Source organism: Homo sapiens, chromosome 8, assembly GCF_000001405.40.
Source record: "Homo sapiens chromosome 8, GRCh38.p14 Primary Assembly".
NCBI lineage: Eukaryota > Metazoa > Chordata > Mammalia > Primates > Hominidae > Homo > Homo sapiens.
In genome coordinates, this window is record NC_000008.11 from 88,285,320 (window position 1) to 88,300,191 (window position 14,872).

The 14,872-nt window shown below is 36.2% G+C and overlaps 1 protein-coding gene across 1 annotated transcript in view, besides 1 other annotated feature; it reads right to left on the reverse strand.

The window, feature by feature from the left end:
* Positions 1-14,872, reverse strand: part of MMP16 (matrix metallopeptidase 16) — a 295,473-nt gene that overhangs the window by 253,309 nt on the left and 27,292 nt on the right. The window lies entirely within an intron of this gene.
* Positions 12,586-13,785: an enhancer, noted in NCBI's record as "P300/CBP strongly-dependent group 1 enhancer chr8:89310134-89311333 (GRCh37/hg19 assembly coordinates)". NCBI's record gives its function as "activates an origin of replication core promoter dependent on BRD2, BRD4, P300/CBP, MED14 and CDK7 cofactors, with strong dependence on P300/CBP, by STARR-seq in HCT116 cells {active_cell/tissue: HCT116}" and the evidence as "EXISTENCE:reporter gene assay evidence [ECO:0000049][PMID:35650434]".

The window sequence follows — 14,872 nt, forward strand, 5'->3', positions numbered from 1 at the left end:
AGTAGCGATGGGGTTTCACCAGGTTGGCCAGGCTGGTCTCGAACTCCTGACCTCAGGCGATCCACCCACCTCAGCCTCCCGAAGTGCTGGGATTATAGTTGTGAGCCACCGTGCCCAGCTGACAGAAACTGTTTTTTTATCTTTCCCACCATTTTATCTTTAGACAACAAAACTCAAAGAAGCTCCTCCATGAAAAGTTCTTCACTTTCAAAGTATCACACTCACTATAAAAGATGAGCTATTTCTTCTTCCTGGGGAAAATCCCTTGAATCATGTTAGATACCATGCCCCTTCTTGCCTTACTGAAGAGATAAAACTTTTGATGATCTTGTCTCTATTTATATATTTCACCCCTCCCCCTCAACTGAATCCTTCCAATGACTTTTTTTCCTTTTTAAAAATTAATGTTGCAGTAAAATATATACATCATTTACCATTTTAAATTGTACAATTCAGTGGCATCAAGTATATTTACACTATTGCACAACCAACACATTATCCATCTCCAGAAGTTTTACTAACGGCTTTTAAACAAATTCAGGCATTCCTCAAATAAAACGTTTTGCCATCTTATTTGTCACCTGTTATGTCATCTCATCCTCCTCCTGCAACACTCCTTCTCTTCAAAGCCAGCTTCATATCCCATGGTACTTTCTCACTAACCTCTTACTCCTAACCCACTCCATTTGGGTTGAGTGTATCATTCTTCCAAATGATTTCAAAAAGTCAGTAACAGGTCTCCATAGGGATGCATTCAAGGAGCTCTTTTTAGTTCTCAACAGCATGATCAACTGTTCACCACTCCTTCCCACTCAATACACTTTTTCTTTCACCTTCCTGGCCCAGTGCACTACATCGTCTATTTTCCCTCCAGGTACTTCTTTCCTATATCCTGTCCATGTTCTTTTGCCTACACAAAGCCATTCAGTGTAAGAATCTCAGAAGACTCTCCCCTAGGTTCTCTCCTGTCTTCATAGTATACTTTTTCCTTTCCTAAATAATATTCTCCTTATCCTTGGCTTTGGTTACCTCCTGATTATTTTGGACTCACATGTTTAGATGTGACAGTCCAACCAAAACCTTTCCATTGAGCTCAAATAAGTATTAAAAATTGTTTTTCTGATCATTCTTTACAAATGCCTCAAACTCCATATGTTCCAAATCAAACTCCTAATAAAAGCATTTTATTGTCCAGGTTCTCTACCTCAGTGAATGTCACTGTCATTCAACCTGTTACATGAGTCAGAGACCTGGAACTCAATTTTTTTTTTTTTAAGATGGAGTCTGGCTCTGTCGCCCAGGCTGGAGTGCAGTGGCGCGATCTTTGCTCACTGCAAGCTCCACCTCCAGCGTTCATGCCATTCTCCTGCCTCAGCCTCCCAAGTAGCTGCTACTACAGGCGCCCGCCACCATGCCCGGCTAATTTTTTGTATTTTTAGTAGAGATGGGGTTTCACCGTGTTAGGATGGTCTTGATCTCCTGACCTCGTGATCTGCCCACCTCAGCCTCCCAAAGTGCTGGGATTACAGGCATGAGCCACCACGCCCGGCCTGGAACTCTTTGATCAACAGCGCTAAAGATTTTACTTTATAAATTTCCCTCTTAATTCATCCCTTCTTTGGTGTCACTACCCTAAATATAGCATCATCTCCCCTTCTAGAATGCTGCAATAGCCATCTACATCTGGTTTATCTACAACCACTCTGGTTTCAATTCAATACTTTCTCCACACTGCAACATATAACCACTTGAGACCTGTAAGCACTTTCCACTGCTCCAAGAATGCCCACTGAGGACTATGAAAGCTTAAGTTGCTCGGAGATAAAAGACAAAGCCACTTAACAAGTTCTGCGTGCTCTGATGCCCTGCCTATATTCCAGCCCCAACTTACAACCAGTTAAGAGTCTCTCTCTGAGCGCCAGCCACCCTGACCTTTTTCCAGCCCTTTGTTCTCAGTAACATCTCTCCCCATTCCTTCTGTATGTTATTCTGTCTGCCTGGAAAGCTCCCAACCCTCTTCATATTTTAAATAGATAATTCCTGCCCGTTCTTTGGAAGGCAAATCAAATGTCACTTGTTAGGAGAAACTTGCCACTGCTAGATCAAAGTTATGAGTTTTCATCTCATCAAGTGCATCTTCTTCATAGCAGCTACCACTTTGCTAATTTTCTATTTACTTCATACATAATACCCCAAATTCAGGCCCTCGGGTTGATGCAGAAATCATGCCTCTTTTTGTTCATTGTTACATCCCCTCCACCTAATATATCTGGAATATAGCAGGTACCCAATAAATATGTATCAAACAAAATAATGAATACATAAATGGATGAGTTGTAGGGGCCTAAATATTTGTTGAAAAAACTTATTCTTTCAACAAATAATTAGCCCATTATGTGACAGGCAGTGTCATGAGCAAAACTAACATTTATTGATCACTTCCTATGTGTCAGACATGGTGCCCAGAGCTTTGAGTAATCAGGCACTTCTTTGTGTTATTGTAACAAAAAGGTTGTAAGACAGATACCAGCATTAGCCTTCATTTACAGACAAAGAAACTGGGGCTCAAAGAAGTTACATGATTTGCTAAAGGCAACTGTAAATGAAAGAGTAAGAGTAATACCAAGGTCAGTCAAACTTCAGAGTCTGATTAAGCCCCTTGAGTGAATAAAGATACTCATATATTTCAAACGTAACACAAATGCATGCACTATCAATTTCATGAACATATCATAGCCCTAAAGTTAGGCACACCACTTTGACAATACTAACTCAAAGCCTCATTTACTTTAGACTCACAAATCTATCCAGTATGATAAAGGGTCCTCTTGTACTTAAAAATCAATAAACATAATACACTCCAACAGTTACCAAAACCAATATAACTATTCCATTAGTAAAGACAATTCCCTTTATGCTTGAGCAATGTACAATGAGCACATCTCTGAATTTCTATGAAACCTCATTCTTCCAAATGCAGTTAAGCAGTTGCAGCAATTAACATAAACATTTCAGGACACCATTTTTTTTCTTTTTTCTTTTTTTTTCCAGAAAAACCATAGGCACCAGGTGCTATATCAGATGACAGTGGGTTGTTGGCATCAAGTATTTCAAAAGATGCTGGGAACACCCTGAGCCCTATTTAACCTCATACAAGAGGTTGATTAAGTATGCCACTGAGGTATATGATCTATCATTCCCTAATTGCTAAACATCAACTGACCAGTGTTCTGGTATCTTTAGAGGGCAATAATGTTGCAATATAAAACAGTAAAGAGTCCATTTTTTGTATTTCCCAAATTTGCAAATATTTTTTTAAAACAAAGAAATTGATGTTGGTGAGAATGCAGTAGGAGAGAAATTCTCATATATTCCTATTGGGAGTAATAGTTTCCACATCCTTTCAGGAAACCAATGTTTATTGTGTATCAAGATTTGATTTAGTGTTTCTATTTTCTAGGACTTTAGCTCAAGGAAATAATCAGTGATGTAGATGAAGATATATTTACTCATTCACTCTTCTCTAAGTCATTTATCACACTCATTTTATCTCTTCATTAAACAAAGAGTCTTTGGACATTTTCTGAGGGAACAAAAAAGCAGCAAGACAAATTCTGCCCCTGTAGGAAGCCACACAAGAAACAAGATAATTTCAATTTGTTGGTACAAAAGAGGCAAGGGCCTTCTTGCAGATAAAGGGGATCACAGAGGTTCACGCCAATACTTGACCCCAAGTATGGGTTAGTTAGATAATGGGGAGAACATTTGAATCAGATGGTACAGCCCAGAAAGAGACAGAGACAGAGACAGAGACAGAGAGAGAGAGAGAGACAGAAGAAGAGAGAGAGAAAGAGAGTGTGAGCGCGAGACTGCAGCACACTGGAGGGATGAATCAGAGCAGCAAAAAACTGCAGAGTAAAAAGATTAAAAGGAAAATATCATAGGTTGCAGAAACACAGACATTTTTGTTATCATCTTTGTATGTTACTATGCTGCCAAAATTTTCTACATTGTATATTGGAGAAAAAGGAACATTTTAAAGGCCATTTAAAAAGCCAGTAAAATATCAAATGATTATAATAGCACATGTAGATGACCCATAAAGTATGTCATCAAACAATTTTCACATCAGAGGACCATTGTGAGGAAGAAAAGAGCAATAGATGTCAAAAGCTCTAGCAAGTAAAATATTTGTACATCTACACATACACGCACACAAAGCATTTTTGCAATATAGTCATTTCATACAAAAATTTACTTTAGACATTACTTAAAAATACAGTCATTTCTCATTATATGTGATGGTTACATTCTGTACAGTTGCCGTGTACTCTGAATTAGTGAATACTGAACTGCTACTCCTAGAGGAAACACACACACACACACACACACACACACACACACACACACACCCCACTCATATAATCTTAAATACCCAAAACAACACAGACTGGTAGATTCCATTTTCCTCTTTTTTAAAAAAAAAGGAAAAAAAAATTCACAAGTGTTAGGTAACTTTCCTGTGCCTACCCCACTAGCAAGTGCCAGAGTAGGGATTGAAACTTCCTCCAGCTGGCTCTAGGGTGCTTCCCTCACTACCCTGCACTACCCTGCACTGCCCCCTACTGCCTCCATCCTCTGAAAGCTGATATCTGAAGGCAGAACTCTCGCTTTATCTGGCCTTAACTGGGAACATGCCTACTGGGTGACACAAATTTTTTGTCCATCTGTGCATATCCATAAATGACCAGGAAAATGCCATAAGTATTGATTTTGAGGTAACAAATAAATTACCACAAATGGGAAAATTCATAAATATGGAATCCACAAATAATGAGCACTGAATGCATATGGAACACCCATATTATGGATAAGTTCATGTCCCCCTATGATCTATACGCAGAGATAAAAGTTGCTAAATCTCTGTTTCTCTTAAAAATTGACCTTATTGGGCCAGGCACGGTGGCTCACGTCTGTAATCCCAGCAACTTGGGAGGCCGAGGCGGGTGGATCACGAGATCAGGAGGTCGAGGCCATCCTGGCTAACAAGGTGAAACCCCGTCTCTACTAAAAAATACAAAAAATTAGCAGGGCATGGTGGCGGGCACCTGTACTTACAGCTATTCAGGAGGCTGAGGCAGGAGAATGGAGTGAACCTGGGAGGCAGAGCTTGCAATGAGCAGATATTGTGCCACTGAACTCCAGCCTGGGCGACAGAGTGAGACTCCGTCTCAAAAAAAAAAAATTGACCTAATTATTTTATATTTATTTATTTAGAGACTGGGTGTGACTCTGTTGCCTAAGCTGGAGTGCAGTGATGCGATCATGGCTTACTGCAACCTTGACCTCCTAGGTTCAGGTGATCCTCCTGCCTCAGCCTCCTGAGTAGGTGGGACTACAGGAACGCACCACCATATCTGGCAGAGACAAAATCCCAAACTGGTAAGTCAAGAATGCTGTTCACCAAATCATGACACCTTACTTGATTTGCAACCTTTTCTAAGATAAAAGGAAACAGGGAAGCAACCATAATCTAAGCTGGATATATGATTTACTCATATTTTATTTATGTAAATATAATAGAAGAAATCCTTAAATATTCAAAAAATGAAGAGATTCTCCGATTCTAATGAGTAAAACCTTGCTTAATTTGACATTTGATGTCAAATAAAAAATAAGGGCCAGGCGTGGTGACTCATGCCTGTAATCTCACTACTTTGGAAGGCTGGGGTAGGAGGATCTCTTGAGAACAAGAGTTTGCGATCAGCCTGGGCAACACGGTGATACCACATCTCTATAAATTTTTTTAAAGTTAGCCAGATATGATGGTGGATGCTTGTAGTCCCAGCTACTCAGGAGGCTGAGGCAGGAGGATCAACCCAACCCAGTAGGTCAAGGTTGCAGTGAGCCATGATTGCATCACTACACTCCAGCCTAAGCAACAGAGTCACACCCAGTCTCTAAAAAAATAAGTAAAGAGAAAATAATAAGGTCAACTTTTAAGAGAAACAGAGGTTTAAGAATATGTTCTATTACAAATGTGGCTAAAATTTTTAGAAGCCCAAATTAACATAGAATACCCTTGTGTGACAAAACCAGTAGCTACTACCAGAAACTGCAGGGAGCTATAATGAGAGAAGAAAACTAGAAAGATCCTTCCTATTCCTTGGACAGATATTTCAAAACTTCAGTCTAATGATCATTGTTCACTCTCTGCTTTCACTAGAAGTTAAAAAGTAAACTCAGTGTCTTCAAGCGGGAAAAGAAAGAGACACACATTTTCAGTAGAGGCAAACTGAAACCCTCTCTTCTTGAGTAGAAAAATATAATTGAGGTGAACAAATTAATAAAAGCTGCAAGTGAAAATACCAAGTCCCAAGCAAGGCAAAAACCTAAGAATTTTGTAGAATAACGATTAGTAATATATTTTACTGCAAGTTAATATTTAGGGTAAATCGATTTAAAACATGGGAAGATGAAAGAAAAATGAAAACATTTTCAATAGATAGGTTTTTTAAACATAAATATGTTAACTTTTTTAATGACTTGATATTCACTAGATGCTTTGTAAGCATTATCTGTAATCCTCGTGTTAGTAGTACTGGGTAAGAATTATGATGTTAGATTTACACATGAGAACACTGAGACACAGACATGCTAAATAATTTCCCTAAGGTTCTACGTAACTAGTATTTTGAGGAGATATTATTTTAAGTTAGATCAGCTTGGATACAAAGTCCATTCTTATTCCATTGCACAATAGATGCTGCTTCCTGAAAATAATACCTTGAAAGACAATCAATAGTTATTAAAAAAGAACTATTCTAGAAGAATTACCTGCTTTGCTAGAGATTAACATTTAATACAAAATTATATTTTAAAATTAGAAGTTAGCAAAATCGTTCAAACCTCTCTGTGTTAATTTTTATTCACTTTTTATATTAGTTCACAGTGTCAGTAGCTTTAACTCTTAATCAATTGTGGGATTATGGATCCCCTTGAGAATCTGAGGAAAGGACCCTAAGAACATACCCATATACAAATACCGCATTCAACTTCAGAGAGTTCACAGTAGCCTGATGTCCATATACTTAACCCGTGTGAACACCAGGTGAGGGGCCCTCGCCACTAGGTGCAGCTACTCTCCTAGCTAGACAGATCAAACAGTCTTGAAATAATACTGGCTGTTATGTACCCAAATTGCAGGATGAGAAAAATGTTAATAAATCAATACCTATTTGAAAGGTAAATACATAACAGAAATCATATGATTGGGAGAAGCAAACTCTATGAGATAACGATCACTTTCTGAAGTGCTAATGAAATAAGTTGTATCTAGCATCCGGATAATTAAACAGTTTTTTCACTCACTAGTATTCATAAAAAGCTAAATATGGAAATCTATAAGTATTATTTAATCCATTCACACCACCAAATATGCAACAGAAACACATGGCTGAAAGGATGAACATTTAACAAGAAATTATACTTGTAAATTAAAAAATAACAAAAACCTATAAGCCTCTTTTAAGTATTACTCTATTTTTTAATATTTAACATACAGTGACAATAGTTTCAATGCCTAATTGACAATGGGTTTTGAACCCCTTTGAGAACCTGAAGAAAGAACTTCTGAAAAATGCACATATAAAAATGCTACACATGACCTCAAGGAGTTCACAGTGCCTTCATGTCTATCCACTTAACGCTCTAGAGTTCAACAGGCAATGAACACAGATGTGAAAACTGCATAAAACTTTAAGAGTAAATGACACACCACAATTATTAATATATTTTTGGTTATATCATTATCCATACTGAGTACATCTTGATTATTTTAAATAGATAAAAGAGAATGAGTTGAAACTCCTAACACTAAATATAATTTTCTAAGTTATAGAAACTAGTTTTTATGTCTTACTACCTTCCCTCCTTCCACTGTTTCCTCTTATTACCTATTTAGCTGAGAGTGATCTAAGTGATTACCCTTACCCCGAAACTACTTAATGCTTTTTTTTAAGAGACAATGCTAAAAGTTGATGATTAATGGATAAAAAGTAGCTTTGAACTGGTAAGTGGGCCTCTATCTAATTAAATTCATTACCAATTCCAAATATCTGTTAGAGTAACAAAATCCAATTTAGTTAGTATGTTCTTCAAATAAAGGTATAATCTAAATGACAGTGAGAATAAACATATTCTCAAAAATTTAATCCATTGCTTTTAAAAGACAGCATCACTCATTTCTTTGAACTTGAACAAATAAAAAGGGTATTATGGAAATCCTTTTTAAACATATACTATATATATTTAAAGCTAATTTAATCCTGAAAACATTATGAGATAGGCACTATTAATCTATTATCTATAAAATAGGTAACTTTTTTTTAGAAAACCAAAAGGAGCTTCAGACTGTTTAAACAATTTTTCCAAGACGGCATTGTATGAGTGAAATTAGGATTTGATTTAAATCCACGACAGTCAGTGTCCCATCTCAATCTCTCTTCTTTACATAAAGCTATCTTAGTTATTCCAAATCCTATGAGCCAATGTTTCATGACCAACTACTGTGCCAGACACTTTTCTGGATGCTTTCTAATTTGATAAGAATGAAAGGAAAAGAAAAGTAGCAGTCTGTAGACCACACTAAAACACTTCAAAGCTAGACCAACCATCAGTCCAATTATAATTTACAGTCACTCAATCAGAATAAATACAGAGTTACTGAAACTTGATATGTGGAGACATTTGCATGTCTAACTGACTATCTATAAAGATGCCTTATAAATTCCAATATTCCATTAACTAAGAAAACATTATAGTTATATATGTCTATACATGTGTATATATAATTATATATGTCTATATATACACATATATAGACTATATATGTGTTGGATATATATATACACACACATATATATACACATATATAGACATGTGTGTATATCTATATATACACACACACATATATGTATATATGTATATATGTATATGTCTATATGTGTATGTCTATATATGTGTATATGTATATGTATATATGTAGATATACACACATCTATACACACATATATACATATGTATATACATATATACACATATATACACATATGTATATGTCTATATACACACATATGCATGTCTCTGTACACACATATGTATGTCTCTATACACACATATGTATATGTCTCTACACACACATGTATATGTCTCTATACACATATATGTATATATGTCTCTATACACACATATGTATATATGTCTCTATACACACATACATAGATGTGCATGTATATAGACATATATAACATTATAGTACATATAGACATATATAAACACATATATAACTATAATGTTTTCTTAGTTAATGGAATATTAGAATTGATTTATTTATTTTTAGTTTTTCATTTTTTGAGGTGGAGTCTCGCTCTGTCGCCCAGGCTGGAGCGCAGTGGTGCAATCTTGACTAACTGCACCTCTGCCTCTGGGTTCATGTTAGTCTCCTGCTTCAGCCTCCTGAGAAGCTGGGATTACAGGTGCCTGCCACCATGCCTGGCTAATTTTTGTATTTTTAGTAGAGATGGGGTTTCACCATGTTGGCCAGGCTGGCCTCGCACTCCTGACCTTGGGTGATCCAACCATCTTGGCCTCCCAAAGTGCTGGCATTACAGGCATGAGCCACCGGGCCTGGCATGGACCTGACATTTCAATATTAGCAATGAAATCCATATCCACTTTAGGCTTAACTCCTATTTTCAAGGGAATAGTGTTGTAAGTATCCCCTTTATCCTACAAAATATTGTGCACACTTGGGATATGGCATAAAGGAAACAGTAATCAAACCTTGTCTTAATGCACAAATATGACTAGTAGTTAACAAAGACACATATTACTTCGATGTTTCCTCCTGAATTTAAAATAATTCTCCTCTTATTTAGAAGAAATGTTCTAAACCAAGTTCTAATTTTCCATCAATAACAAATACTTGATTGTTTACTCTGAGAATCCAGAATGTAGGTGCCCTAAACACTTGGGAAGAAAAAGAGCAGAGAAAAACTCAACAATTTCAAGTGGAAACTGCTATTAGCAGCAGCAATACACAATCTAAAAAGTTGAAGATAATATAGAACAAAATAAAAAGGTAATCTGTATTTACAGGTTGGACACAGCCCAATAAAATCAGTATTCACAGACTCTCTCAGAGGGAACTTTATACTACAGAGGCTGTATCTTATACTCAAAAAAGCAATTTAAGTTAAGTATTTTGTGAGTGATGATCTCAAGTTTCCAGAGGGGCTGATTTCATTAAAGAAAGATTTTCAAGTGTCTTTTTTTAATGGCTGCTCAAATCTAATAAACATGGTGGTTTCTGGAAAGAATTCAGAAATGTTCTCCAACGCTTAATCTGTTTTTCTAAAACACATGTTGTTTAAAGAAGTAAGGTAATTCTGAAAATTGTGTAGTAATTTCTTAGAAGATTATAAGTGAAGCACAGATGGTAGGTAATACGTTGCTTTACAAGACATATTTTTATGTGCAGGATGATATTACCAAGAACCCTGTACTGTGCCATTTTTCTCTAACAATAAGTGAAACAGTGCCATAATCAGTACATGTGGGAAAAATAAGAAAAATCAAATAAAAGCTTAGATATAATACTTTGCTTGAATACATTAATAAAAATTTCATATATTAACTGTATATTAATCCTACTTACTAACTGAGACTAGTCCAAATAGAATACATAAGATGGTGTTTATAATCCAATATTTTTTGCCACCTCAAATTTTCAGGCTCCATCATTCATCCATTTATTCATTCATTTATTCAACGATTATTCGCCAGCTTCTACTAATTAACAGACACTATGCTGGGATGTAAAGATGGATAATAATATAACTCTATCTTTAACAATTCTGAATAATATCTGTAATAAAATGAATAATGGTTTAAAGTGCATCTTATTGGTTTATTTTTAATTGACAAATAATAATTGTGTATATTTACAGAGTACAATGTGATTTTCTGTCTGTATATATCATAAGAAGAATCAATCAAGCTAATGAACACATCCATCGCCTCATCAACTTATTTTTTTCATAATGAGGACATTAAACATTTGTTATTTTAGCCATTTTGAAATATTTTATACACTATTATTAACTATGGTCACCAACATTTACTTCTAACAGTATAGGTGGTACCATTTTCCTTTTGAAATAAAGCAAATTCAGGCCTGGTGAGGTGGCTCATACCTGTAATCCCAGCACTTTCGGAGGCGAGATGGGCAGATTCCTTGAGGCCAAGAGTTCGAAACCAGGCTGGGAAACATGGCAAAACCCTTTCTCTACTAAAAATACAAAATTAGCCAGGATGACAGGTATGACAGGGATGACATACCTGTCATCCCGGCTACTCAGGGGGCTGAGGCACTAGAATCACTTGAACTCAGGAGGTGGAGGTTGCAGTGAGCTGAGATCGCACCACTGCACTCCAGCCTGGGTGGCAAAGTCAGACACTGCCTAAAAAAAAAAAAAAACAGCTTGCAATAAAGTAGATAGAGCCATTTATTCATTTATCAGTTAAGTGGAACTCTATCTGAAAATAAATAAATAATTAAATAATAAAAAAAAGCAAATTCAAAATTCAAAATAACTTAGTGCCCTGGGAAAGTTATGATTTTAAATTAAAAATAAATTTCCAGTATATTTATTATAAAAATGTTATTCAAACATGAACTTCCATATTTTACTGTTTCACAGCTATATTTTATATCAGATTGGCTAAGATATGATTTTAGCCAAAGGATCAGCTCCCACAAAGCTAAATACATGTGTCTGACACTCCACATGCATACTCAGGTCTGAAAGAGTAACCCCCAAGAATAATTGGGCAAGGAAGTTTGTTAAAGGCAATACAGTCCTACCACCAAAGGCTGCTATTAATGGAAGAAAGAGCAGAGTGCTCTAAGGAAGCAGTGCCAACAGCTAGAATAGAAGCCCTGTAGAAGTGTTCTCCCCAAACTCAAACGACTTCTGGATAATAACCAAGGAGGTCTCTGGGACCTGAGAACTGCCCTTTGTAGGTACCTGAGAGAAGAAATCAGCCTCAGTCATTATGATTAACCATAGAGATGGCCTCTCTGCGTATGGCCCGCTCCAAAAATAATAATGAGTCACCACAGGACTAAGGACTTGATCATTAGAGAAAAGAAATGGCAGCACTTCCTCCCAAAGGACTCAGCAGTGGTCTGCCAGAGAGGGTCTTGATACAGTCAGGATGGGGGCTGATTCTCAGCCAGACTCTACCCAGCTAATAAACTCTAAGTACTGTGCAGTAGTATCACAAGTGTGCTCTAGAGGCAGACTGTCAGGAATCCAGTTCTCGCTTTCACATTCATTAGTTGCAAGACTTTAGTTAGCCAAGTTTCTCAACTTCTCTGTGACTTCAGTTTCCTCATCTGTAAAATGAGTATGGCAATAATAACAAATACACCTCAGAGAGTTAAAAATGGAACGAGGTAATATGTGTAACATTTAGCACAATGTCTGGCACATTTGCAAAGTGCCGAAAATGTGGCTATTTTTGAAGGCAAGGGAGGCAAGTCTAGGAAGAAAACAATTAGAGAAAGGAAATTCAATGCAACCAAGCATTACAATTCTACCACATACAAATAAACTCAGTAAGCTCAGTTGTGCACAAAGCAAAAATCTAGGCCTGTAAAAAAGGCAGGGAAAAAATGATGGCTAAATAAATTAAAAAGGTAGTTATAATTATACCTGTGCCTGTTCAAAGTGATTAGAAGGTAAAAGAGAAGGTAAGAAAGGTAATAAAAGATCACCATTAAGAAAATACAAGGAAAAATGGGGCAGGAACACTTTGAGTACGTTCAGTTAAAACTAATAACAACCATAAAACATTTTCCCACTTCCCTTCCCCAAACACCCCATGTTAGGATAGTGTAAGAAGGCACATCCATGTGACTATCAAAGTGTAGACTGGGAGGTAGAACATGTACTGCTTGTAATTGCCAAATTTACGTGTGGAACAAGAGATGAACCAGAGAATTATAGGCCAATAAACCTGAATTCAATTTAGAAAAAGAAATGGAAAACATGTGGGATTGCTGAGATAGCAATCCTTCAGGAAATTCTACAACTGTACTTCCAAAAGCAAGACCAATGGCTCGGCAGCATGAAAAATCACACGAGAGGAGGGGAGATGTTTTTCAAAATGTAGATTCTGGAGTTCTACTCCGACCTCCTGAAAGAGATTTTCTGGAGAAGAAGCCAAACAATCATCACTTTAGGCAACTTCCTCCTGGTGATTCATCTGCACATGGAAGCGTGAGACCTCTGCTCCATGGCACAGGAAAAAAGTGACCGCAGGAGGTGATGAATAATAAATTAAGCATGAATATATCTTTTCAATTTGGCGCTATTCTGTGATTAGCTACATAATGTGAATTATCTATATTGCTTTTTAAGTCATCTCTTACTTCAAACACACACATTACATGGTCAGAGTACCCAGTTTGAGGAATCAAGTTGAATTTCAATACCTGGTTATAATTAATTTAAAATAGCTACTGAGTTTTTAATCATTAAAAAAAGTGGGTAAAATTGTCTAGTTCATTTCTAACATTATATTTATAGTTTACAATTTGTTTTGTAAAAATCCATTTTTTTTTCTTTTTGGAATTCATCTTTTAAGATCACACAGTGGGAAAAAAAATAGATGACAGATAACCTTCCATGGAAGAAAAGTCACAATGGTCAAAGGAAGAAAGTTGAGGTTATTCAGTAAAGAGCTCAGTCCTTTTTACCTACACTCTGGAACGACACATGCATCTGTTCCCAATTTGAAGAAAATATATTGCAAACAGATAAGTTCGGTTTTTCATGGCTGAACCCTTCTGCTCAGAAAGTGAATGCATAAACCCTGGCTTCGTGCTTTTGTTTATTCATGGAAATCAATATGAACTTTAAATAAAAAGGCAAAAAAAAGAAAGTACACTTCATACTCCAAATTCTTTAATTAATGCTAGCATCGTATCTCTTTATCCTCAATCTGGATCCCATCTGGAAGTAGCAAGATGAAAAGGAAAGGACCATAGGAGATAAAAACCCATTTTCCATCACCCACTTCTTCCTAATTTTTAAAGAATACTTCCAACAAAAGCACCACCGCGACATTCCTAAAATACAAAACATAAAAGTGGATAATTCCACCTGCCAAATTTGAAACTATCCAGATATTACCCAAAGCCTATTACCACCTCAGAACCTTGAATTGTCACTACTTCATCTAATAAGTCAATTTGAGGTGATTTAGTATGATGTTATTAGGCTGTCTATAATGTATACTGCAATGATAAGACTTGGGGAAAAAACATTTAGTCAATTGTATCTCAGACAATAGATAATAACTTTTCTTATCTGCAAAATCATTCTTCTTTAACCTCCTGTGAGTCTATAAAATTGTTTATAAATGTTAGCTTATGTTAAAAATATCAAAACATGAAGCATATTGTCTTATTTCCTATACTAATTTCATGCCTACATCCCATGTCTTTCCAGATTATATAAACAGCAAAAGGTTTAACATTTACTTTTTGTGTGTGCTAGGTACTAAATAGAAACTAGAATGCATATTCATATTACTTATGCTTATATTTCTTTTCTATAAAAGTAAATATAAATGTCTTTCATGTGGGGAAATGCCAAGAAACATACACATTAAAAAGGTGAAAGAAATGCAGACCACATGTAAGTGGTATCTCTGGAAAAGAGTGGCCAATATCCCAATAGTATCAACTACCATACTTGTATATAGAAAATTATAAATGCATTCTATCAGGGGAAACTGTGAT